This window comes from Homo sapiens, chromosome 16, assembly GCF_000001405.40.
Source record: "Homo sapiens chromosome 16, GRCh38.p14 Primary Assembly".
Lineage (NCBI taxonomy): Eukaryota > Metazoa > Chordata > Mammalia > Primates > Hominidae > Homo > Homo sapiens.
Window position 1 is genome coordinate 16,239,706 of NC_000016.10, and position 23,526 is coordinate 16,263,231.

A 23,526-nucleotide genomic window follows, 5' to 3' on the forward strand; every position below is an offset into this window, starting at 1 on the left:
AGTACCATGTAGAAGAACAAGGCTTACTCTTAGAATTTCATTTCCGGTGTAAAAAAATTTTAGATTAAATGATAACACTAAACTAAATTTAGCCAGAGTCACAATTCTCATTTCTTGAAATTACATTTTCTTTTTTTCCTTTTAGGGGGATTTCATTCTGAAGATTGAGCCTCCCCTAGGGTGGAGTTTTGGTAAGTTAACTGAATCACTAGACATTCTTTGTAAAAGATTAGATGATATGCCGAATATTAATTTAGGCTAGCAGAGTGCATAAACTATTAAAATATTAAGGATCATTTCCAGTATGGAAGAGGGTTTGTATTCCTCCCCTCCTTGCCCCCATCACTCTGGTTTAGTTCGGATTTACCTTAATCTACCTCAAGACTTTCTGTCACCTTTGAAAAATAGACATCTTTTCTTCTACCTTTCTGGAAACTCTTCCCTTGCAGTTTCACTCATTACGTGGCCGTGGAACAGTATAGAAATCAAGAGTGGGGACTTGGTTCCCATCCCAGGATGGCTTCTTTTTTAGCCCCCTCAGTTTTTTAAGTTTTTATGGAATTAATTGAAACATTTAAAGATTGTGAGATTTGTCATAAAAATCCAGATTTATGTCCCATGAGATGAGAAGACTGTCAGCCTTATACCTTACCAGTTAAATAACTTTGGGCAAGTTACTTCCCCCGTGTCAGCCTGGCTCCTCACTGTCGAGCAAGGGTAGTTATAGTCCCTGCCCCACTGGGTACTTGGAGGATTAATAAACCAATACTGAGTGTTCAGAGGGGCTGGCACGTAATTAGCAAGTACTCAGTATTCAGAAACAGCCCTTCTGCACACATCCCAACAAAAGCTCCAAACTTTCCTCATATAACTGCCTTCAAGCATAGCTGGGGAGTTGGGGATGGGGTTGAGATCAGAAGAGAGGGTCTGTTTTGATGTAGTTTACATTTTTGAAGAGGAGAGACTCTTGATGTTTCAGTAGAGCAGGTGTGGGTGACCCCAGTCCATGGCTTGGGGAGAGGAGTAGGGATCACCGTTGTTGATATCAGGCTTGCTCGTGCATTAGACAAGGAAGAATTTAGCACCTGCCATCACCAAGGCTAAAATGAGGCTCAGGCAGCTGACAGCTAATTTGGCTCTGTGAGAGCAGCTCTTTTATCAGTTTATAGTCAGGGGTAGGGTCGGGGGTGCCTGGCTGGTACGTTCCAGAAAGCTGGAGAGGAATGCAGCCCTGCTCATGGCCAAAGCAGAAGTCCAGATTGGTGGCCTGGAGGAGTGTTGTGTTTGCCACCCCCCACCCTACCCCCAACTGGTGCTGTTGATAAGCTTTTTAATTGAATTATACTTTCAGAAAAGTGCCTTGGATGAATTTTCACTAAGTGAACACACCCATGTATCCACCATCCAGATAATAAGATAGCACTTCACCAGCACCCCAGAAGTCCCCATCCTGGGTGCTCATTAGCCATCCCGCCCCACCCTCCAGGTGACCACCACCCTGACCTTCTACAAATTAGAGATCCATTTGGTCTGTTTTGAACTTTATACAAATGCTATCATGCAGGGAACTTTTTAATATCCGGTTTCTTTCACTCAACATTATGAACTTTATCTGTATCATTTGTAGCTTTAGTTCATTCTCTTTGCTGTTGAGAATTCTGATGCATAAATATAAAATTATTTATATTTTATAAAATACTTATATTTTATTTTATTTTTTTCTTTTTTTTGAGACTGAGTCTCGCTCTGTTGCCCAGGCTGGAGTGTGATCTCAGTTCACTGCAACTTCTGCCCGGGTTCAAGCAATTCTTGTGCCTCAGCCTCCTCAGTAGATGAGATTACAGGTGTGCACCACCACACCCAGCTAATTTTTGTATTTTTAGTAGAGATGGGGTTTCATCATGTTGACCCAGGCTGGTCTCGAACTCCTGACCTCAAGTGATCTGCCCGCTTTGGCCTCCCAAAGTGTTGGGATTATAGGCAAGAGCCACCACGCCTGGCCTATATTTATATTTTATATTCATATTTTGTATCAGTGATCTCTTCTACTGTTGATGGCCATTTGAGTTGCTTACCGATTTTGGCCACTAAGAGCAGTGCTCCTGTGAACATTCTTGTATGTATATTTTGATACATGTGTCTGCATTTTTGCTGAGTATATCACAGGAGTAAAGTCGCTGAGCCATAGAGCTGATACATGCTCAGCTTTAGGTGTTTGCAAACATCCAAAGTGGATGCACCAGTTTGTGTTCTCCCAGCAGTGTACAAGGGTTTCCATTGCTCCACATCCTAACCTACACTTGATATCGTCAGTTTTTTTTAATTTTAGCCCTTCTGGTGGGGGTGTGGTATTATCTCACTGTGGCCTTGATTTACATTCCACTGATGGCCAATGAGGTTGCACACTTTTTCGTATGTTTATGTTTGTTTGCCATGGGCTAGCTATTTTTGTAAGATTCCTGTTCAAGTCTTTTGCCCATTTTTTATTGGAGTCTTTGTGTGTGTGTGTGTGTGTGTGTGTGTGCATGTACGCGTGCAAGCACGTGTGTAATTCATCTTAACTGAAAATCTCATCTCATGGTTTTCCATTTTTTTCTCTACTCATTACTCCATATTCTTCCTAACCTTTCAAAAACTCAACCTTAACCCCTATTATGATGAACTCTTCAGTTAAAAAATGGAGTTAATTGCTGATATTGAAAAATCAAGAGATGGTATATAAAATCCAGATTTCCAGTTTTTCGGAGAAGTTGGAAGCTCTGGCAAAGCATGGTAGTGGTTGGCAGACTTGAGTGGCAGTTGTCTCCTTTCAATTTGCCACAGTCCCCCTGAGGATGCTCCGCTCACTTCGAACCCATGAGGCCCCTGTGGCCCTGGAGTTTGTGTTCCTGGTTTAACATGGCTGAGCTCATGTCCTTGGTCAGAGAACAGATCCAGAGCCAGACTTTTAGGGTTGAATTGGGGCTCTGTTACTCAGAAGCTCTGTGATCTTGGGAGCTCCTTTAACCTTTCTGTGCCTTAATTTACCCCTCAGTAAATTGCAGCTATTACTGCCTGTCTCTTAAGATAATTGTGAGGATTAAAGGCACTCAGCTCAGTGCCTGGTCGGTGATGAGCATTCAGGAAATAAAATTATTTGGTGCTCACTGAATTTTCACTGGAACTCTGAGATATAACTTAGCTGAAAGGCGTTGTAAAATTATTTTATACTCTAAACACGAATTCCCTCTGGGGCAGGAAACCAGGAGGCTAGGGGGATAGGGGTGAGAGGGAGACTTTTCCCAGAATACTTTTTCGTACCTTTGGATTTGGAAACACAACGAGTGTATTAAGTGTTCAAAAGTAAAATGAAACCTGAATAATAAAAATACGTTCTACTTAGGTTCACTGTACCCCAAAACTAAGCTTGCCTTTGTGTCTTGTGCCCCGGTTTCCTCCCCTGCTTCGTTCCTCAGAGCCGACGACCGTGGAGCTCCATGTGGATGGAGTCAGTGACATCTGCACAAAGGGTGGGGACATCAACTTTGTCTTCACTGGGTTCTCTGTGAATGGCAAGGTTTGTCTTTGGAACTTGATTATTTTTCCTGTTCACTCTATAATGTATACTAAATCCTTTTTTAAAAAAATGCAGGATATTTTAACCTGGGGACTTTGATCCCACAAGGGACCCATGGATAAGTGGCAAGTGAGCCTGTGAACTCTGTACTTCATCCGTGTAGAACACAGCAGGTGTATTTAGGAATGAGATTGAGGTTGCTGGTCATCCCCTCTGCTCCCAGAGCATAGGCTGTTGGTGTTTTTATTTTTTTATTTTTTATTTTGAGACAGGGTCTTCCTCTATTGCCCAGGCTGGAGTGCAGTGGTGCAATCTTGACTCACTGCAGCCTCCACCTCCCAGGTTCAAGTGATTCTCCTGCCTCACCCTCCCGCTCCTTCACCCTCCCGAGTAGCTAGGATTACAAGTGTGTGCCACCATGCCTGGCTAATTTTTGTATTTTCAGTAGAGATGGGCTTTTGCTGTGTTGGCCAGGCTGGTCTCAAACTCCTGACCTCAGGTGATCCGCCTGCCTCCACCTCCCATAGTGCTGGGATTACAGGTGTACGCTGTGCACCCAGCCGCTGTTAGCGTTTATGTCAGGGATGGCCTTTTACAGGGATGCCGAATTGGAAGGACACACTCTCTAAGCCTTGTGGCATCTTGCTGTCCCTGTGGGTGAATTGAAGTCAGCTTCTCCCAGAGAGAGCGTGCATCTGCTTCTGACACTTACGTAGGAGGATTCCTATTATTTAAGTTCTGAGATTTTTTTGGACCGCCACGGTGGTGTGAATTTAGAGTCCTAACGGGTGTGTGCCCAGCTCCCGTGATTCAGATTCTCAGGGGAGAGTCATTTCTCCTCCACCCGCCCTGTGCCTGCGGTTGAGATGTGCTTCCTTCCTTCCTGTCCTTCTCTTCATGATGGACTTCTTTCTCCTCTACCTTTGCGGTGACGGGGAGGCCCTTCCATCCCAGCTGTATGTGTGGGCTTCTTGTTAGAGATGGGGATCTTGGGTAGTTTTTTCTTTATCGATGGTTTGCAAAATAATGGTGAACCTTTTTTTATTTTTATTTTTATTTATTTATTTTTTTGAGACAGAGTCTCGCTCTGTGGCCTAAGCTGGAGTGCAGTAGCGCAGTCTCTCTCACCACAACCTCCACCTCCTGGGTTCGAGCAATTCTCCTGCCTCAGCCTCCCCAGTAGCTGGGATTACAGGCGTGTGCCACCTGACCCAGCTAATTTTTATATTTTTATTTTTATGTACATTTACTTTTTTTTTTTTTTTTTTTTTTTTAAGATGGAGTCTCCCTCTGTCGCCCAGGCTGGAGTGCAGTGGCGCGATTGCAGCTTACTGCAACCTCCGCCTCCTGGGTTCAAGTGATTCTCCTGCCTCAGCCTCAGGAGTAGCTGGGATTACAAGCATGTGCCATGACGCCCAGCTAATTTTTGTATTTTTAGTAGAGACAGGGTTTCACCATGTTGGCCAGGCTGGTCTCAAACTCCTGACCTCAAGTGGTCTGCCTGCCTCAGCCTCCCAAAGTGCTGGGATTACAGGCGTGAACCACCACACCCACCCAGACCAATAATGGTGAATCTATAACTGATGATGTCTTAGATTCATTGAAATAGAGTCTTATTTTACTGTTACTGTTCCCTCTCCTACCTCATCCCCAGGAAACATATCCATGATTTATAGCATCTTTTCAATGGGATTCTTGACCCAAAGAGGGTTCCTGGGCTCCACCTGGGAGTTGTAAGCAGGACTGCCAGTGCTTTGAGAGGAGGGTGCTTTGCTGGGTGGGCCCTAACTTTCTTCTCCATGGCAGGTCCTCAGCAAAGGGCAGCCCCTGGGTCCTGCGGGAGTTCAGGTGTCTCTGAGAAACACTGGGACCGAAGCAAAGATCCAGTCCACAGTTACACAGCCTGGCGGAAAGTGAGTAGCGTCCTGTCTCTTAGTGTTGCCTTAGAGCCGGGCTCTGACAGGGGTCATGGAGCTGGGTTTGGGAGTTTGGATTCAGGGAGTTCTGGGTTCAGATCCTGATTCAGCCTCTTAAGTTTGGGTGAGTTCATGCCCGTCAGAGTGCTGAGTTCCCCACATGTGAAATGGAATCCATTTGACCCATCTTGCCTAGCATTGATGAGATGATTAAATATGAGTTCATACTGGCCAGGCATGTTGGCTTGCGCCTATAATGCCAGCACTTTGGGAGGCCAGTATGGGAGGATCACTTGAGTTCAGGAGTTCGAGACCAGCCTGGACAACATAGGGAGACTCAGTCTCCACAAATAATTTAAAAAATTATATCAAGTAGAGTCCCATGGGGGAAGAAAATTAGCTGGGTGTGGTGGCATGCTTCTGTGGTTGCAGCTACTCGGGAGGCTGAGGCGGGAGGATTGCTTGAGCCTGGAAGGTTGAGGCTGCGGTGAGCCGTGATCATGTGCCACTGTGCTCCAGCCTCGGCAGCAGAGCAAGACCCTGTCTGAAACAAACAAAAAAAGAGTTAATACCCATAAAGCACCTGCTTCAAGGCCTGGGGCTTAGTGGGTCTTCATTTAGCAGCTCAGCCTGGCTCTGGAGCCTGCCAGCCCGGGCTTGAATCCCAGCTCCCCCATTTGCTGGCTGGTTGACCTAGGGCAAGTTCCTTAACCCCTCTGTGCCTCAGTTTCCTCTTTTGTAAATGAAGATAATTGTGGAACCTATCTCCTAAGGTACTGGAAAGATGAAATTAATATTATTACTTCAAGCTGCCTGGCATATTAGCTCAAATAGGTTAGCTCAGTTATGATTAGAAAAAATCATTATCATTATTATATCAAAACTGCTTTGTAGTTGGAACAGATGCCTAGCTGACCTTGCTGAGTCAGATTTAAAGCATTTATTTAATGGATGTATATAGTTGAGTTGTAAATGTTAACAGATATGCCAAGATTAATACCAGAATAGTTCAAACTGATAATTCCGAAAGCGTTCAAATCATTACTAACTCCGTTAATATACAAACTGAGTAAATTGCAAAATAGAAGTTTATAATGAGTCTGTCAGTAAGTTATTCAATTTTAAAGTTATTATTGTTGAAACTAGTTTTCATTTTTGAAATAACATTTACTTCTGCTTGACTGGTGCCTCTCCAGGCCTGGTGTGTAGCAGGAATATGGAGCTGTAATTTTTTTTCTGGGCTAGTAATTTGGTGTTGACCTTACTAGAAAAAAATAGTGTCTTGAGCCTTCTGAATACCTTTCATCTGCACTAACTGAAACAATGAAACATGTAGCACTGGGCTATTATGAAAATGAAATAGAACCTCAATCTTACCAATACTTGTAGTAATGTGATTTCCAAGACCTATCCAGTTATTGCAGGCAAGATTTGACACAATAAAATACCACAGAAGAAGAAATCAAATGCGTTTTCTAGTTCATTTCACCGGACTTAGCCTTCTCATTTGTCAGTTGCCTTACAAATTTGAAGGGATAAACATGTTAGTATACTGGCAGCAGCATTTCCAGCTTTAGCTCGGCTCACTCTGGTGTTAGTCTGTCTATGGCTAGTAGAGTAATTTTCATCAGCTGCTGGTTTCTTATCTCAGTTGCTTTGTGCAAAAACCCAGAATGACTTATCTGTGTTTCTCTAAAGCCTTTTTTCTGGGATTCAAAGCTTATCATAGTTTACCCTGCCCTGTGTCATTTGCATCATCTTGGGTCAGCGTCCCCCTCAGCCTGTGCATCTGTTCTGTTCTTTTTCACCCCACTTCTCCCTTCCCATGTGTTTCCTTGGACACTTCTGTCCCCTTCTCCTTGTCAGTTCATGCCTGTCACCTCTGTCAAACCCAGTCGAATGTTCTGTGACTGGTCCCTGCTGTGCTACAAGGATTGGTTTTATGCCAGAAATCCTTGAGATTAAGGGAGACGTAAGCACTCCTCTTTCCGATCAGCACATGGAGCACCCCTCTTGGCACACAGTAAGTGCTCAATAAGCGCTCTTTTATGCAGATTTGTACAGTGAAGGATTGAATTTCATTCATGCTCATTTAACAAGCTAATGGAAGTTTGCGATAATTCCAACATTGTTTTCTTGTGCTGCCAACATTAGTCATAGAATTAGAAATACTTGGGTTGTTTGGAGAAAGTTAAATGGTTATTTTTTATGTCTTAGGTTTGCATTTTTTAAAGTTCTGCCTGGAGATTATGAAATCCTCGCAACTCATCCAACCTGGGCGTTGAAAGAGGTGAGTGACAGCTACGTCTATAGCCATGCCAATAATATGCTGGTCTTGGGACAAATGTAGGGCTTTTCAATTTAGGATATGAAAAGAATTTATGGTTCCTCCAGGACTAGATGAAGAACCAATGGTGCTGTTGTTTAGTTTGGTAGTTATTTATAAGGTGTAACTCCTCACTGTAGCAGATGTTGCTTGTGTTAGTTTCAGTTTTAGGTGACAGTGTTGTCTTCCTGCTGTGAAATAGATCTGTTTTATTAACTATAGCTATTTTAAACTAAATCAACAACAGAAGGCCCTGACGAGATTTATTTGTTGTTCTTTTTTCAGCCTGAAACAGAAATCTGTAAATATACTAAACATTCTAGAAACTGTGGTACGCGTGACCAAGGAGAATGTATGAGAATGTTTATTGCAGCTTTGTTTGTAATAGCAAAATATTGTAAACAACCTAAATGCCTTTTAAGAGAAGAATGGATTGGGGTTCCATCATACAATAGGCTGCTGTATGTCAGCAGTAATGAATGAACCAGAGCTACATATATCAATGTAACTACATTTAAAAACAGAGTTGAAGGAAATATGATTTTAAATACTTGTGATAATCATTTATGGATACAGTCTTTTTTTTTTTTTTTTTTTTTTAAAGACGGAGTCTCGCTCTGTTGCCAAGACTGGAGTGCAGTGGCATGATTTTGGCTTATTGCAACCTCGGCCTTCTGTGTCCAAGCGAGTCTCCGGCTTCAGTCTCCTGAGCAGCTGAATTACAGGGATGTGCCACCACGCCCAGCTAATTTTTGTATTTTTAGTATATATGGGATTTTGCCATGTTGGCCAGGCTGGTCTCGAACTCCTAGCCTCAAATGATCCACCAGCCTCGGGCTCTCAAAGTGGTGGGATTACAGGTATAAACCAGTGCACTCGGCCAGATACAGTCTTTTTTTTTTTTTTTTTTTTTGCAACAGGGTCTTGCTCTGTTGCCCAGGCTAGAGTACAGTGACATATTCATGGCTCATTGCAGCCTCTGGTTCCTGGCCTTAAGCGATCCTTCACCTTGGCCTCCCAAGGATCTGGAACTGCAGGCATGTGCCACTGCCCCTAGCTAAGGATACAGTCTTTTTTTTTTGAGATGAAGTCTTGCTCTTGTTGCCCAGGCTGGAGTGCAATGGGGCGATCTCGGCTCATTGCAACCTCCGCCTCTTGGGTTCAAGCGATTCTCCTGCCTCAGCCTCCTGAGTAGCTGGGGTTACAGGTGCCTGCCACCATGCCCAGTTAATTTTTGTATTTTTAGTAGGGACAGGGAGGATACAGTCTTATGTAGAAAAATTATAAAGACATGTATGGGAATAGCAGACGCTGTTCAAAATGATACTGACTTCTAGAGAAAGAGGGAGGAGGGGGACTTCGGGGTACGCCAGCATCTTGAATTGTATTTTTTTAAATTTCTTTAGCTGGTTAGAAGGTATGTAAGTGTTCTTTAGCATATCTTTTTTTGTTTGACTGAAATAGTTTATAGTCAAAGATCAAAAAAGGAACTCCACCTAGTAGGTGAGGTTCTGTAATAGCCGTGAAAGACCAAATTGAAATAAGACTTAAGGGACATCTTGACATGTTAGCTTCTGTGTTAGTATTGAAGCTGTATCTCATTTTTGCTAAAGAAGCATTGGAATCAGTATTTCAGCTTCTACTCTATCTGTTTTATTATTATTTTTACTCTGTAGGTTTTACGCACTTATAATTGATGATAGTTTCACACCTAGATGTCTCTTCTTACTGTTTGTGACTTTTGGTTTTGGGGGTTTTTCTCTTCTGCAGCAACATTTAAAAATATTTTATTCGAGGCTGGGCGCAGTTGCTCATGCTGTAATTCCAGCATTTTGGGAGGCTGAGGTGGGTGGATCACTTGAGGTCAGGAGTTCGAGACCAACCTGGCCAACATGGTGAAACCGCATCTCTACTAAAAATAGAAAAAAATTAGCCAGGAATGGTGGCATACACCTGTAATCCCAGCTACTCGGGAGGCTGAGGCAGGAGAATCGCTTGAACCTGGGAGGTGGAGGTAGCAGTGAGCCAAGATTGCACCACTGCACTTCAGCTTGGGTGACAGAGTGAGACTCCATCTCAAAAAAAAAAAAAAAAAAATTTATTCGAAATGAAAGAGCTTACACATTTATAAATAGAAGAGATTTTAAGGTTTACATTGTATGTTAATTGTCTGCATAGAAGAATCTGAGTTTATTAATATGAGATTGGGATTTTCAAGTAAAGCATGTTGTTAGAAGTCAGGATAATGTTTATCTTCCTGGGGTGTTAGTGACCGGAAGCAAGTGTGAGGGCACTTCTGGCTTGCTGGTGCTATTCTGTTGGGTAATCAGTGCCCAATTTGTGACAAGCCCTGTGCTGCGTGCTTAGAATCTGTACACTTTTCTCTGTGTTTATTGTACCTTAACAAAAATGTTTAAAAATATACACATATTGTGAAAAGAACAACTTAAGGCAAATTAAACAGAGTTTAATTGAGCATAGAACAATTTGTCAATTGGGCAGCTCCCTGAGCCAGAATAGGTTTACAGCGACTGTGGCACTGTTGCGTGATTGGAAAGGGTTTATGGACAGAAAAAGAAAGTGACGGACAGAAAGTGGAAGTGAGGTACAGAAACAGTTGGATTGGTTACAGCTGGACGTTTGTCTTATTTGCACATGGTTTGAACAGTTGGCTGCCTGTGAGTAGTTGAAGGGTGGCTGCTTGAATTGGGTGAGACTTGGCAACACGTAAGAGAAACCTTTAGGCCAAACTTAAAATATGTAAGGAGGCAGCTTTAGGCTAATCTTCAGTTAACACTATATATCATTAAAAATAGAAAAAAAGGCAAAATATGCTCATTAAAAAAATTGGAACATATAGAGGAATATAAAGCAGTGGAAACAAATTTTGGAAGCTGGAAAAGTATACAAGTAAAATAGCACCATATAGACAAAATCATTATTGTTTACATTTTGCCACATTTCCTTTCACTTCATTTTGGGCATTAAAAAATAATGATAAGCCAGGCACGGTGGCTCACACCTGTAATCCCAGCACTTTGGGAGGCTGAGGCGGGCGGATCACCTGAGGTCAGGAGTTCGAGACCAGCCTGGCCAACACGGTGAAACCCTGTCTCTACTAAAAATACAAAAATTAGCCGGGCGTGGTGGCGAGCGCTTGTAATCCCCGCTACTTGGGAGGCTGAGGCAGGAGAATCTCTTGAACCCAGGAGGCAGAGGTTGCAGTGAGCCGAGGTTGCACCATTGCACTCAAGCCTGTGTGACATACTGAGACTCCGTCTCAAGAAAAGAAGTGATCATACTGAATAAGCAATTTTATAGATTACGTTTCCCAGTTAATATTTTAGCTTCAGCGTGTCCTCATGTTGTTAGGCACTTTGCAAGTGTTTATTTTTTTACAGGTTAAAATCTTTTTCTGTTACAGGCAAGCACCACAGTGCGTGTAACCAACTCCAATGCCAATGCGGCCAGTCCCCTCATAGTTGCTGGCTACAATGTGTCTGGCTCTGTCCGAAGTGATGGGGAGCCCATGAAAGGCGTGAAGTTTCTTCTCTTTTCTTCTTTAGTAACTAAAGAGGTAAGCAAAGAAAAGAACAAAAGAGATGGTGTGAAGGGTAGGAGGGTGGGGGATTATAGACCAGAACGTACTGTTTTAAAAAATGCAGGTCTGAGTTGATTTATCATTTTAACACTTAAGAATATCGTCTGTCTCAGGCCGGGTGTGGTAGCTCATGCCTGTAATCCCAGCACTTTGGGAGGCCAAGGTGGGTGGATCACTTGAGGTCAGGAGTTTTAGACCAGCCTGGCCAACATTATGAAACCCCATCTCTACTAAAAATACAAAAACATTAGCCGGGCATGTTGGCACGTGCCTGTAGTCCCAGCTGCGTGGGAGGCTGAGGCAGTAGAATCGCTTGAACCCAGGAGGTGGAGGTTGCAGTGAGCCAAGATCACGCCACTGCACTCCAGCCTGGGTGACAGAGTGAGACTCTCAAAAAAAAAAAAAAAATTCAAGAATATCATGTGTCTCTGTTGACTCACAAGACATTGCACATCTACACTGGGAGGCAGTGGTATGTGATGGAAAGTACACAGGCTTTGAAATCAGACCTGGGTTTAAACAAATCTCAGATTTAAACAAATTCCTCTTCCTAGCTATGCGACCCTGGGCCGGTCACATTACCTTCCTGAGCTTCCGTTTCCTTATTTGGAGAATGGTGACCCATGATAAGGAAGGACAGTCATGTCATCTTTCCCGGGAAGACTGTGCCAGTTTTTAACTTTGCAACTTGAATGTCAAGATTTTTGTTCCTTTTATCTGTATTAATGTTTCTTAGATTTCAGAAATACATATATTGACATGAAACTTAAAAAAATTTTCCTATAATGTGGCTAATTGATGGTATTCAGAACATGTAAATGGAAAAGGAAGTCTTGTCTTTTTTACCCCCTGGCATAGGATGTCCTGGGCTGCAATGTCTCACCAGTGCCTGGGTTCCAGCCCCAAGACGAGAGTCTGGTGTATTTGTGCTACACGGTCTCCAGAGAAGATGGCTCGTTCTCTTTCTATTCCTTGCCAAGTGGGGGCTACACTGTGGTGAGTGAAGCAGATTTCCGTTCTGTTTATGTCTGGGACTCTCATGACACAGTAAAAGCCAATGCTGTTTGGGTGTTAAAGGAAAAGATGGTTGGCCTGCAGTTCTCTGAACATGCTGTTAAGCAGTAACTTACTTAAGATGAGACACTCACCCCTTCGTAATAGCTACAAAAAGGGCAAGGCTTCCTCTTTTCAAATCTGCAACAGTTATGATGAATGTTTCTCTTGGTCTGTCTGAACCCCTTGTCATTTGTGGGCTGCTAGATCGATTATTAATATTGCTGATTGATCATGTTAGTGGTTCTTAGTGATTAAGAGACTCTTCCTTCCAGATTCCGTTCTATCGAGGGGAGAGGATTACCTTTGATGTGGCGCCTTCCAGACTTGACTTCACAGTGGAGCATGACAGCTTGAAAATCGAGGTAAGGCTTTTCTGTCTTCTGGAGGGACAGGTGTTTGAGTTCCCATCCCTAGGCACAGGTATTGCAAACATGTTTTAAAAAAAAATCAATTATTTTATCTGGAAGGGCTGTTGGAAAAAATGCCATCTGGTATTATATTCTTACCCATGATGTCCTTATCGTAGAGAGCTGGATTCCTAGTTAAATCTACTCATTCAATGAAATATATTTATTGATTGCCAGTGACATGCATTTCAGGCACCATTCCAGGACTGGGGATATAGCAGTGACCAAAAGAGGCAAAAATTCTTGTCCCTGTGGACCTCATTTTTTTTTTTTTTTTTTTTTTTAAGACAGGGTCTCACTGTGTGGCTCAAGCTGGAGTGCAGTGGTACGATCTCATCTCACTGCAGCCATTGCCTCCAGGGTTCAAGTGATCCTCCCACCTCAGCCTGTTGAGTAGCTGGGACCACAGGCACGTGCCACCATGCCCAGCTAATTTTTGTATTTTTGTTAGAGATGGGGTTTCACCATGTTGCCCAGGCTGTTCTCTAACTCCTGGGTTCAAGTGATCTGCCTGCCTCGGCTTCCCAAAGTGTTGGGATTACAGGTGTGAGCCATCGCACCTGGCTAGACCTCATGTTCTAATGACAGGAAGGGTCAATACATGTATAGATGTATAAGTTAGAAAGTACAGTAGAAGGTGATAAGTGTTCTCTAGAAAAATAAAGGAAGAAAGGAGGTAGTACAGTATCAGGGTGGAGACAGGGGTTGCAGTTGTACATAGGGTGTTTTTGGGAAGTCCTCCCTGTGAAGGTGACATTTGAGCAACAACCTGAAGGGAAAGAACAAGAGAACCATACTTCACTCCTGCAGGAAGAGTGTGTAAGACTGAGGGAACGGCACGTGCAAAGGTCCTGAGGCAGGAGTGTGCTGAAGGGTTTGGGGCATCCCAAGGAGGCCAGGGTGGCTGGAGTGGAGGGAATGAGCAAGGAAGGAGGAGGCGGAAAGAGGGTCAGGGAGGTGACAGGGCAGATTGTGCAGGGCTTGGTGGGCTACTTTGCCTATAACTCTGGGTGAGAATTGGTGCCACTGGAAGGTTCCTAGCAGAGGAGTGGCGTGATCCTTCTGGCAGCTGCATTGAGGAGAGTTTGCAGGGTGTCAGGGTGGAAGTGGGAGACCAGTTGGGATGCCATGGCCGTAAACCAGGTGAGAACTGGCAGAGCTTGGACCGTGATGGTAGGAATGGGCAGTGTGATACATGGCTTGATAAACTGCCTAGACCCTCACATAAATGGTAAATGTATTTTTCATCTCACTTACGTCTCCTTTAATTACAGAAGTAGAAAATGGTTACTGTAGAAAATTGGCTAGCTAGAACAAATCCCAAAAGAAAATAACAGCCTCTCCTAAGTGGACCACCCAATGTTAGAGTTATCGAAGCAATTATATTTTAATCATTTTCTTTTAATAATTACATTTGAAAGTACTGTGTTAAAATCGCTTAAACTGGCAGAAGCGGACTTTTAGGTCATATGCACAGTGGGGTGCAGACTCTGCATTTTAAGATTCAGTGGAGTGTTTGACCGTTCTGCTGTACACTGGAGGGGAAAGAGAAGGGTAAGAAGATGAAGCCTTTACTTTGCTTCTCGTAGCTTGCAGAGAAGGATGGGGGCAGGTGAGCAGAGACAGCTATTCCCAGATTACAGCCAAATACATATTTTGAAAATGATGAATGGAATTTCAGGGAATGGGGCCCTGTAAGTTCCCTGAGGTCAGGTACTGTGTCTTATTCTTTACTGTTTTCCTAACATGTGATTTAGTGCCTGGCACATAGTAGGTGCCCAGCAAAAATATTTGTTGCGTACATATGTGAATTAATAAGTAGGTAATGCATGGAATGAAACATGTCTTTTTGGAAAGATCAATAAGGACTACCTGTCATGTGAGACCATCACTAAGAAACCATTTGCTGAAAAAAAAAATAAAAAAATAAAAAAGAAGGGCTCCCTGCATAAAAAGGAAGTCATTTAATTATTTAAAGCTTCATCTCAAATGCTGTTGCACACGTGCGTGCACACATTCATTCATTCAGGAGTCAGTTATTGAGTGCCTGCTGTGTACCAGGTGACTAAGACAGAAAAAGTCCCTGTCTCCATGAGGTAACATGCTAGTGGGAGGGAGACAACTAAGAAATCGAACGAGGACATTTCAGATACTGGTAAGTTTGATGAAGATATTAAAATAGGTTAGCAGTGGTGACCTTGGGGATACACAGATCAGGGCTGGAACTCAGTAACTGCAGAGAAAGCACAGCTGTGCTGCTCACAGGCGAGTGGGGCACAGACACAGACACAGACACATGGAGCACGGGACCACGTGTGAGCCAGTGATGGTGGTGGAGGAGGGTGGTCTAGGTGGATTTCTTTTTTTTTCTTTGAGACAGAGTCTTGCTGCTTCACACAGGCTGGCACTATCTTGGCTCACTGCAACCTCTGCATCCCGAGTTGAAGTGATTCTCCTGCCTCAGCCTCCCGAGTAGCTGGGATTACAGGCGCCCGCCACCACACCTGGCTAATTTTTGTATTTTTAGTGGAGACAGGGCTTCACCATGTTGGCCAGGCTGGTCTTGGACTGCTGACCTCAAGTGATCTGCCTGCCTCGGCCTCCCAAAGTGCTGGGATTACAGGCGTGAACCACTGCGCCTGGCCTAGGTGGATTTCATAAGGACCTGTGTTCAGGTCGTGGTGGAAAGACAGGAGGGGACACGTGAGACCTTGCAGAGGTGGAATCCACAGGACTGATCGATGCTGGAGGAGCGGGGCGGGTCATCCAAAGTGATGCCGGGGTGTGCATGGGAGACTGGAGGAAGACGTGGTTCACCAAAATGGGGGCATCTGGAGGGGAGGAGATGGCACAGGGGTAAGGGTGGGGGGCTTCTAGAAGCTTGAGTCAGTGACCTTTTAACGAGGGAAGTAAGTCTCTAGACTTTTCTTTTCTGTTGTTTGACACTCAGCAGTGTGTTGGGAACACAACAGAGAAGACAGATGTGGGTAAAGTGAGAGGGAGCCCGGCTGGCACACAGGACCGGGGCACTGAGTGTTGGGAGGTGGGCGGCAGGAGCAGACATGGTAGGTGGTGGCCGGCGCAGCAGAAGGAGGCTTTGTGGCTCTGGCACAGGAGCACCTTCGAGCACCTTCTTGTTCTTTGTTTTCTAGCCCGTGTTCCACGTCATGGGATTCTCCGTCACCGGGAGGGTCTTGAACGGACCCGAAGGAGATGGTGTTCCAGAAGCAGTAGTCACCCTGAATAACCAAATCAAAGGTGGGCTGACACAGCAGCCCCAGGCTGATGGCCAGCGCTCTTTTTGGATCACAGAGAGAAATGGAGAGGAACTGATGACTATATGAGAACATGGCAGCTTTTGGTCCAAGTATTCTGGTGTACATGTAAGGATACACTGTTGTTTTTGGCTTATCTTCTGTTTGTGTGTTTTTGTTTTACAGTTAAAACAAAAGCTGATGGCTCATTCCGCCTTGAGAACATAACCACAGGGACATACACCATCCATGCTCAGAAAGAGCACCTCTACTTTGAAACGGTCACCATCAAAATTGCACCAAACACACCTCAGCTGGCTGACATTGTTGCAACAGGGTAAGCTTATCGTGTGGATTTGGAAGCACCAGTAAATATGCTGGCAGCCAGTGTAGAACCAAATGACCTGTGATCTGTGTGTCTTTGCCGAGCTTAAGAACTTAAGAAAGATTAGTACTTTTTTTTTTTTTTTGAGAGACAGAGTCTTGCCCTGTTGCCCAGGCTGTAGTGCAGTGGTGCCATCTCGACTCACTGCAACCTCTGCCTCCCAGGTTCAAGTGATTCTCCTGCCTCAGCTTCCCAAGTAGCTGGGACTACAGGCGTGCCCCACCACACCCAGCTAATTTTTGTATTTTTTAGTAGAGACAGGGTTTCACTATATGTTGTCCAGGCTAGTCTCAAAACTCCTAACCTCAGGCTGTCTGCCTGCTTTGGCCTCCCAAAGTGCTGGGATTATAGGTGTGAGACACTGCACCCGGCCAAGAAAGATTAGTTCTAAATCTTACAAACTGAAGGTACTGACATGTCGGATGCTTAATGAAAAGTCCCTTGCTTCAAATTAAAATGGGCTTGTGAAATTAAAAAATCTTTCATGTCTGACTTTCACGATCTTTCACAGGACCCCTCTTTGCTTAATCTTTGAGGATTTTTGGAAGATGGTATTGTTGGTTGAGAAAGCTTATTGGAAGATGCTTCAGGTCATTGGTGTAGTTCTTCCTGCTTGTAGTTACTCATTATACTATAAGTACAGGCAGGGACATCTTGTGGTTGAATTCATGTGGTTTTACCATCATCTGAAGCAAGATTGTGTAGTGCCAAGAACTTGGGCTTTGGAGTCAGATCCCAGATCCACCTGTATGTAACCTGCAGAACAGCTTTAGACATAACAGGTGCTCACAAAACAGTAGCTTAGAAGGAGACTGCAGGGTCTGCTTGGGAGAAGCGCGGCATGAGCAAAGTCAGGCAGTCTCACAGCAGCATGAGGTGGCTGCGGGTGTAAAGCTGGGTGCTACTGGAGCAGAATATACTGGCAGGTGAAGGTGATGATGAGGCCAACCCCATAGCACCTCCTCACACCCCACCAGGGCGTAGGGGCTTTCTCCCACTGGGGCCAACGGGCCATGAGTGGTTTTGAGCATTAATATAACAAGCTTTGATCATTGTTTTCAATAGGGCATTCTGAAAACAATGGCATGGAGTAGAGTGGCTTTGAAGGGGACAGGACTTGGGCACAGGAGGTCTGAAAGCAGAGACGACAAGGGCTTGCCTTGTAGGGAAGTCAGGGACAGACTGGTGAGATATTTAGGGTGCCCAGCTTGAGAGGTGTGATGGCTGGGGACAGAAAGAGAAGCCAGTTAGGTGATGAGGTTTCAGATTTGGCCACATTGGTCTGTAGGACCACTAGGTGGAGCTCTTCAATAGGTACTTGGATGGATGGTAAATCCTGAAGATTTGGCCGCAGGTGGCAGCCAGGACCTCAAATATGTATGTGCAAGTAGAATTAGAAGAACAGTAGGCCAAAAACAGAGTGCCAGGTGGCCCAGGGGGGGACCTAGGGAGCCTGAGGTCATAGGAGCTAAGAAAGTAAGTTTGGGGTAGGAGGTAGGGCCCAACAGGGAGGTGCAGGGAGCTGGGCCCTGGTGAACACAGTCCCCTGGCTTGATCACTGAGGAGGCCACAGTGACTCTTTTCTGTAGACAGATGGAGGTCAAGGTCAAGGAGTCCAGTGGTGAATGGAAGACAGGGAAGCAAATTACCCTCAGAAAGTAATTCTTGGATTTAAGTCTTTCCCACCTTCCATAAACACTTTGTGCAATTACTCTAGATGAGGCACTGAAAAATGCTTCATACCTAATAATTAATCAAACTAGTGTTCCAGAGATGGGGCTTTCACCCTACCAGGGAGACAGACTGAAGACAAATACATCTGTGGCCAGGCTTAATGCCTCACACCTGTAATCCATCCCAGCACTTTGGGAGGCAGAGGTGGGCGGATCGCTTGAGCCCAGGAGTTTGAGACCAGCCTGGGCAACTTGGCAAAACACCATCTCTACCAAAAATGCAAAAATTAGCTAGTTTCATAACCTGGTCTAAAAATAAATAAAGAGATAAAAATTAAAAAATAACAAGATTTTTAAAAAAGACAAAAAAGACAAATACATTTATGCTGCTAAATTATGGCAAATGTTGTGCAGGGAAGAGATCAGGGTGCTGCAAGAAGAGCTAATTTAGAGTGGGAGCTCTGCAAGGCTCTCTGGGTTGCAGAGACCTTAGTAAAGACTAAAAGTTAGCTAAAGAAAGATCTTCCCTAGTAGAGAAGCAGCATGCTCAGAGGCCTGCATAGGATAGGAAGGACCTGAAAGGCAGTCTGCGCAGCTGGAGGAGGTGGGTGAGGTCAGGGAGCTCTGGGGCCTTGTAGCCTTGCTTTGGGATTGGGCTTTGCTCCCTAATGCAGTGGAAACCCGTTAGGAGTTGTCTGTTGGTTGGCCGGGCACGGTGGCTCACGCCTATGATCTCAGCACTTTGGGAGGCTGAGGTGGGCGGATCATGAGGTCAGGAGTTCAAGCGCAGCCTGGCCAGCATGGTGAAACCCGGTCTGTACTAAAGATACAAAAGGTTGGCGGGGCATGGTGATGCGCGCCTATAATCCCAGCAACTCAGGAGGCTGAGGCAGGAGAATCGCTTGAACCCGAGAGGCAGGGGTTGCAGTGAGCTGAGATTGCACCATTGCACTCCAGCCTGGGCGACAGGGTGAGATTCCGTCTCAAAAAAAAAAAAAAGAGTTATCAGTTGGCAAGGGAGTGATAGGGATCATGGTACTTTAAAAAGTTTGTTTTTCTTCCTGGCTGCTGTGTGGAGAATGGATTGGAGGAAAGCCATGGTGTGAATGGAGGGGCCAGATATGAGGCAGTCATGGTTGTCTGGAGGAGATATGGTAGTGGCTGGGCCCAGGCGGCTGGCAGGCGAGGGAGCGAGGAGTAGATGGATTTGGTAGGTCACATGGAGAACACACCCACAGGCCTGTGCTGTTGAGGTTACAGGTTTCTTATTTGAGCCACTGGGTAGATGGAGGCGGTGCTGTTCACGGAGATGGAGGAAATATATTTATTTTCTCCTTTAAAGTAGAGTATTTGGGTCAAAGAAAGAAAAATAGCATTTGTTGAACATTTTTGGAAAAATCTCTTTTTTTTAATTGGCCGATGTAGTACATTTGCCTTTTTAGCACACTGATACTTCTTACTATTTCTTTTCCTTTTTATTTTTTGTTGAGCCAGGGTCTTACTCCGTTGCCCAGGCTGGAGTACGGTGGCGCCATCTCGGCTCACTGCAGCCTCCGCCTCTCGGGTTCAAGTGATTCTCCTGCCCCAGCCTCCTGAGTAGCTGGGATTACAGGCTAATTTTTATATTTTTTAGTAGAGATGTGGTTTTGCCGTGTTGGCTAGGCTGGTCTCGAACTCCTGACCTCAAGTGACCCACCCGCCTCGGCTTCCCAAAGTGCTGGGATTACAGGCTGAGCCATGGTGCCTAGTCTTCCTTTAAAGTAAAATAAAAAAATTACTCAATTTATTGTAAAAACAAACTCTTTGGCTTCTGTCCAAATGACTGTGAAAATAGATTTCTCTCAATATCCACCAATATTACCTGTTTCTGTCCATATATGTATTTAAACCCTGTTGAAAGAATTTATTGATACAAATCAATTTTTAAGGGCTTCAGTATAACGGAACCTTTTTCTACCACCCTTTTGGTTTATTTTTCCAAACTAAGCCAGTATAGATTTGAGGTTTAGGGAAAATAGGCACTTCTTTTTAATAAGAATGTGGGCTAAAACAGATCTTATGGTTCAAATATTTACAACTTAAGGAGGCAAAGAGATTTGATAGGAAATAGACAAGGTGATGTGTCCTCTGACAGGTACACAAATCAAGAGAATATGACAGGTCCTTGGGAATGATTGTGTCAGTGTTCGCTTCCCATCCTTTTATTCTGAAAGTTCACAGTAGGGGAATGTGAGAACCAAAATGCATATGCTAGGTCAGGGACTGGGACACTTTCTCTGTGGAGAGCCAGAGAATAACTATTTTAGGCTGCGTGAGCCATACGGTCTCTAGGACAACAGCTGAGATAGACATTTGTAAATGAATGGGCAGAGCGCAACACAACTACATTTTTGGACACCACAGTTTGCATTTCATGTAATTTTTACATGTGAAATATTATCTTTCTTTTGATTTTTTTTTTTAACTTTAACCACTTAAGAGTGTAAAATTCTTTTTCTCGGCTTGCAGTTCATACACAAACGGGAGGGGGGTCCTTGGGTGGTAGTTTGCTGACCCATGCTGGAGATAGTGAGCTCATATGGCTGGGCAGTCCCTTCACTCTGAAGAAATGGCTGTGTTTTTCATAATTCCTAGATTTCACATACACAATCTTCCACCATTTCCTTGTGTTTTCCACTGTTTTTTTATTTGAGGCGGAGTGGTGGTTCCAACATTTAATGTACCCCTAATTGTCAGAATCCAACATTCTTGATTATCTTTATGTCAGAAGTAACTAATTTTTATCTAAAATGATTCTTGAAGATTCTTTAAAATGAACAGTTGAAAAGACAACTGTGACCCCCAGCTAGGATGTACTATTACACTTTAATACACCAGCTGCTTCAGAAATGAAGACCAGCACTCCAAGGATGATGGTCGTTGTAGGGGGGCCTCTCGTGTGTTATTCGAGGGATGCCTTGCAACACCTTACTCCTTATTTAGAATCTCAAATCTGAATCATTACCTTAATAGGGCTTTTCAGTTATAAGTTACATTGTGGCTCCTACCTCCCAAGGAGTTCAATTTTAGCTTTGCATTTTTTAACTTAATTACCTTTTCTGTTCCAATCTCCCAGTTTGCTTTCATCCATGTATTATATATAATCACAAGCAAGGAAGACGTCTTTGATAATCCTGACTTATTTGATGGCCTGGTAATGCCACAGTTTCTTAGGCAGCTTAGAGCTCTTGCTTTTAAGGGCTAGCCCACATTCTCAGTCCAAGGCCGCTCTGCTGTCAACGATCCAATTACCTGAAACGTTTTTATTATCTGCAGATTTTCTTAAAATTGCCTCTGCAGTGGGGGATTGCCAGATGTCACCCGGAACACACAAACAGCCCCACTACGGGCCCCTGTTCTGTAGAAAGATGCCCAGTCTTGCTTCTGAAGGTTGCTTTTTAAAACCAGAATGAAGGTTGCTTTTTAAAACCAGAATCATCTGGATTGCATTCTGTCTCTTCATTAAGATTAGACTATTCTCAGGAACAAGGGCTGGGAGAGGGCTGCATCTTTTTTGGTCGATAAGAGCCTTTCCTGTTATAATTGAGTCCTCGTGCTGGAATGAATGGTCTTCTCTTTGCAGGTTCAGTGTCTGTGGTCAGATATCAATCATTCGCTTCCCCGACACCGTCAAGCAGATGAATAAATACAAAGTTGTCCTGTCATCTCAAGACAAGGACAAGTCTTTGGTCACCGTGGAGACAGATGCTCATGGATCATTTTGTTTTAAAGCAAACCCAGGGACTTACAAAGTGCAGGTGCGATGCATTGTTTTAAATTTAAAATGTTTTGAGAAAAAGCAGTGATTTTTAGAAGGGTTATTAGGTCGAATGGGGTTAGAGAAGGAGCATTCCAGTTTCCAACTTCTTGTTTTTAAGTCTTTACAATCCTGCACCAGTAGAGGAGAGTCAGATAGGCATCCAGCTAAAAAATAATGCCATCTGCCTCTCTTTTTTCCAGTCTTGATGTTTATTAGTATCAGGCTGCCAGTCACTCCTCTACCTTCAGGCTTCTGGCTGCTGTAGAATGTCGATGAGTCCAAGAGGACACCAAAAATGAACTCTACTAATGGCCGCTCAAAAATGGCCATAGTGCGTGGCTTCTGGGACCCCAGGCCAAAATGGAGCTTCCCATTTCCTGCTTTGCCTTGACTTCAAGATGGCTAGGCAGGGACCACGCGACTTATCCATTCAAGCAGGCCGAGAACGGGGAGACGGTCTGGCCTGTGGTCTCATCACCATGGTGAAGGCCCAAGCCACAGCTGGCCCAAGCAAGCAAGAGACAGGACAGAGCAGAGGTCAGCCCACCATGCCTTTCAGTGCAGTGGCCCTGCCCTTGGGGAGAGACTGTTTCCGTGGGCTGTCACCCATCAAATCAGCAGCTGCCCTTCCTCCCTGTGGAAGAGCAAATAACACAAAGGGAGAGGGCCGAGAAGGTTCCCTGTTAGACTCTGCTGTCCTCTAGGGCAAAGTGGGGTCCCTCCCTCTGTGGGAAACAGGGTAGGAGATTGCGTTCTCCCTGCTTCCACAGAACAGCGTGGTGTGTGGGTTGACAGCTGACTTTATTAGATGGTAGCTGGCTTCTTGCGAAGATGTCCACATTGACAAGTCTTTGGAAGCCCTTTCGGAAGCATGATGGACTTCTCCAAGGAAGGGCAGTGTCGTCTTTACTAGGGATGAAAGAGTTGACCGCTGCTACCTTCACCTGTTCCTCTTCTTAGCCCATGAAAGGCACGCACAACAATAGGAGGAAGAAAATGACTTAATTCCACCAAAGTGTCATCCACATAGTGTTGACAGGTTCAGAGCTTATGCTACAAGTGATCCGAAGCCGGGAAAAGTGACTGGGATGTAGTATGGTTTCTAGTATGTAAGTGAGGCGTGTCCGCGTTGCGGGCCTGTGGGGAATTAGGCCAGATAGACTTTTGTTCATACACATCGGTCTGTTGAGGCTAATTTTTCATCTGGGTAGAACCGTGCTTACTTCACACAAGTTATTCGTGGATTTGTTGTGATTGTAAAATCAGCCTGGAAACGAACCTTTGGCCTTCAAAATCTCTTTAGCCTTGGTCCCAGATGAATGTTCTAGCGCCCTGTAGGTCAGGGGGAAGATCTCCCCGAATGCAGCCTCTAACGTTCCATCCACGTTTCCGCAGGTGATGGTTCCTGAGGCAGAAACCAGAGCAGGGCTGACGTTGAAACCCCAGACATTTCCTCTTACTGTGACCGACAGGCCTGTGATGGATGTGGCCTTTGTACAGTTCTTGGCATCAGTTTCTGGGAAAGTCTCTTGTTTGGGTAAGATATCACTGGA

At 44.5% G+C, this 23,526-nt stretch overlaps 1 protein-coding gene across 2 annotated transcripts in view; it reads left to right on the forward strand.

The window, feature by feature from the left end:
- The window catches only part of NOMO3 (NODAL modulator 3), a 62,284-nt gene that overhangs the window by 7,178 nt on the left and 31,580 nt on the right, over positions 1-23,526 (forward strand). For both annotated transcript variants that reach the window (NM_001004067.4, XM_005255318.2), the window contains exons 3-13: positions 146-191; positions 3,456-3,556; positions 5,363-5,469; positions 7,690-7,762; positions 11,223-11,375; positions 12,258-12,395; positions 12,728-12,817; positions 16,015-16,120; positions 16,303-16,453; positions 21,797-21,971; positions 23,369-23,510. In NM_001004067.4, the coding sequence (NP_001004067.1) occupies positions 146-191; positions 3,456-3,556; positions 5,363-5,469; positions 7,690-7,762; positions 11,223-11,375; positions 12,258-12,395; positions 12,728-12,817; positions 16,015-16,120; positions 16,303-16,453; positions 21,797-21,971; positions 23,369-23,510 (1,282 nt within the window). The remainder of the gene's footprint in view (positions 1-145; positions 192-3,455; positions 3,557-5,362; positions 5,470-7,689; positions 7,763-11,222; positions 11,376-12,257; positions 12,396-12,727; positions 12,818-16,014; positions 16,121-16,302; positions 16,454-21,796; positions 21,972-23,368; positions 23,511-23,526) is intronic.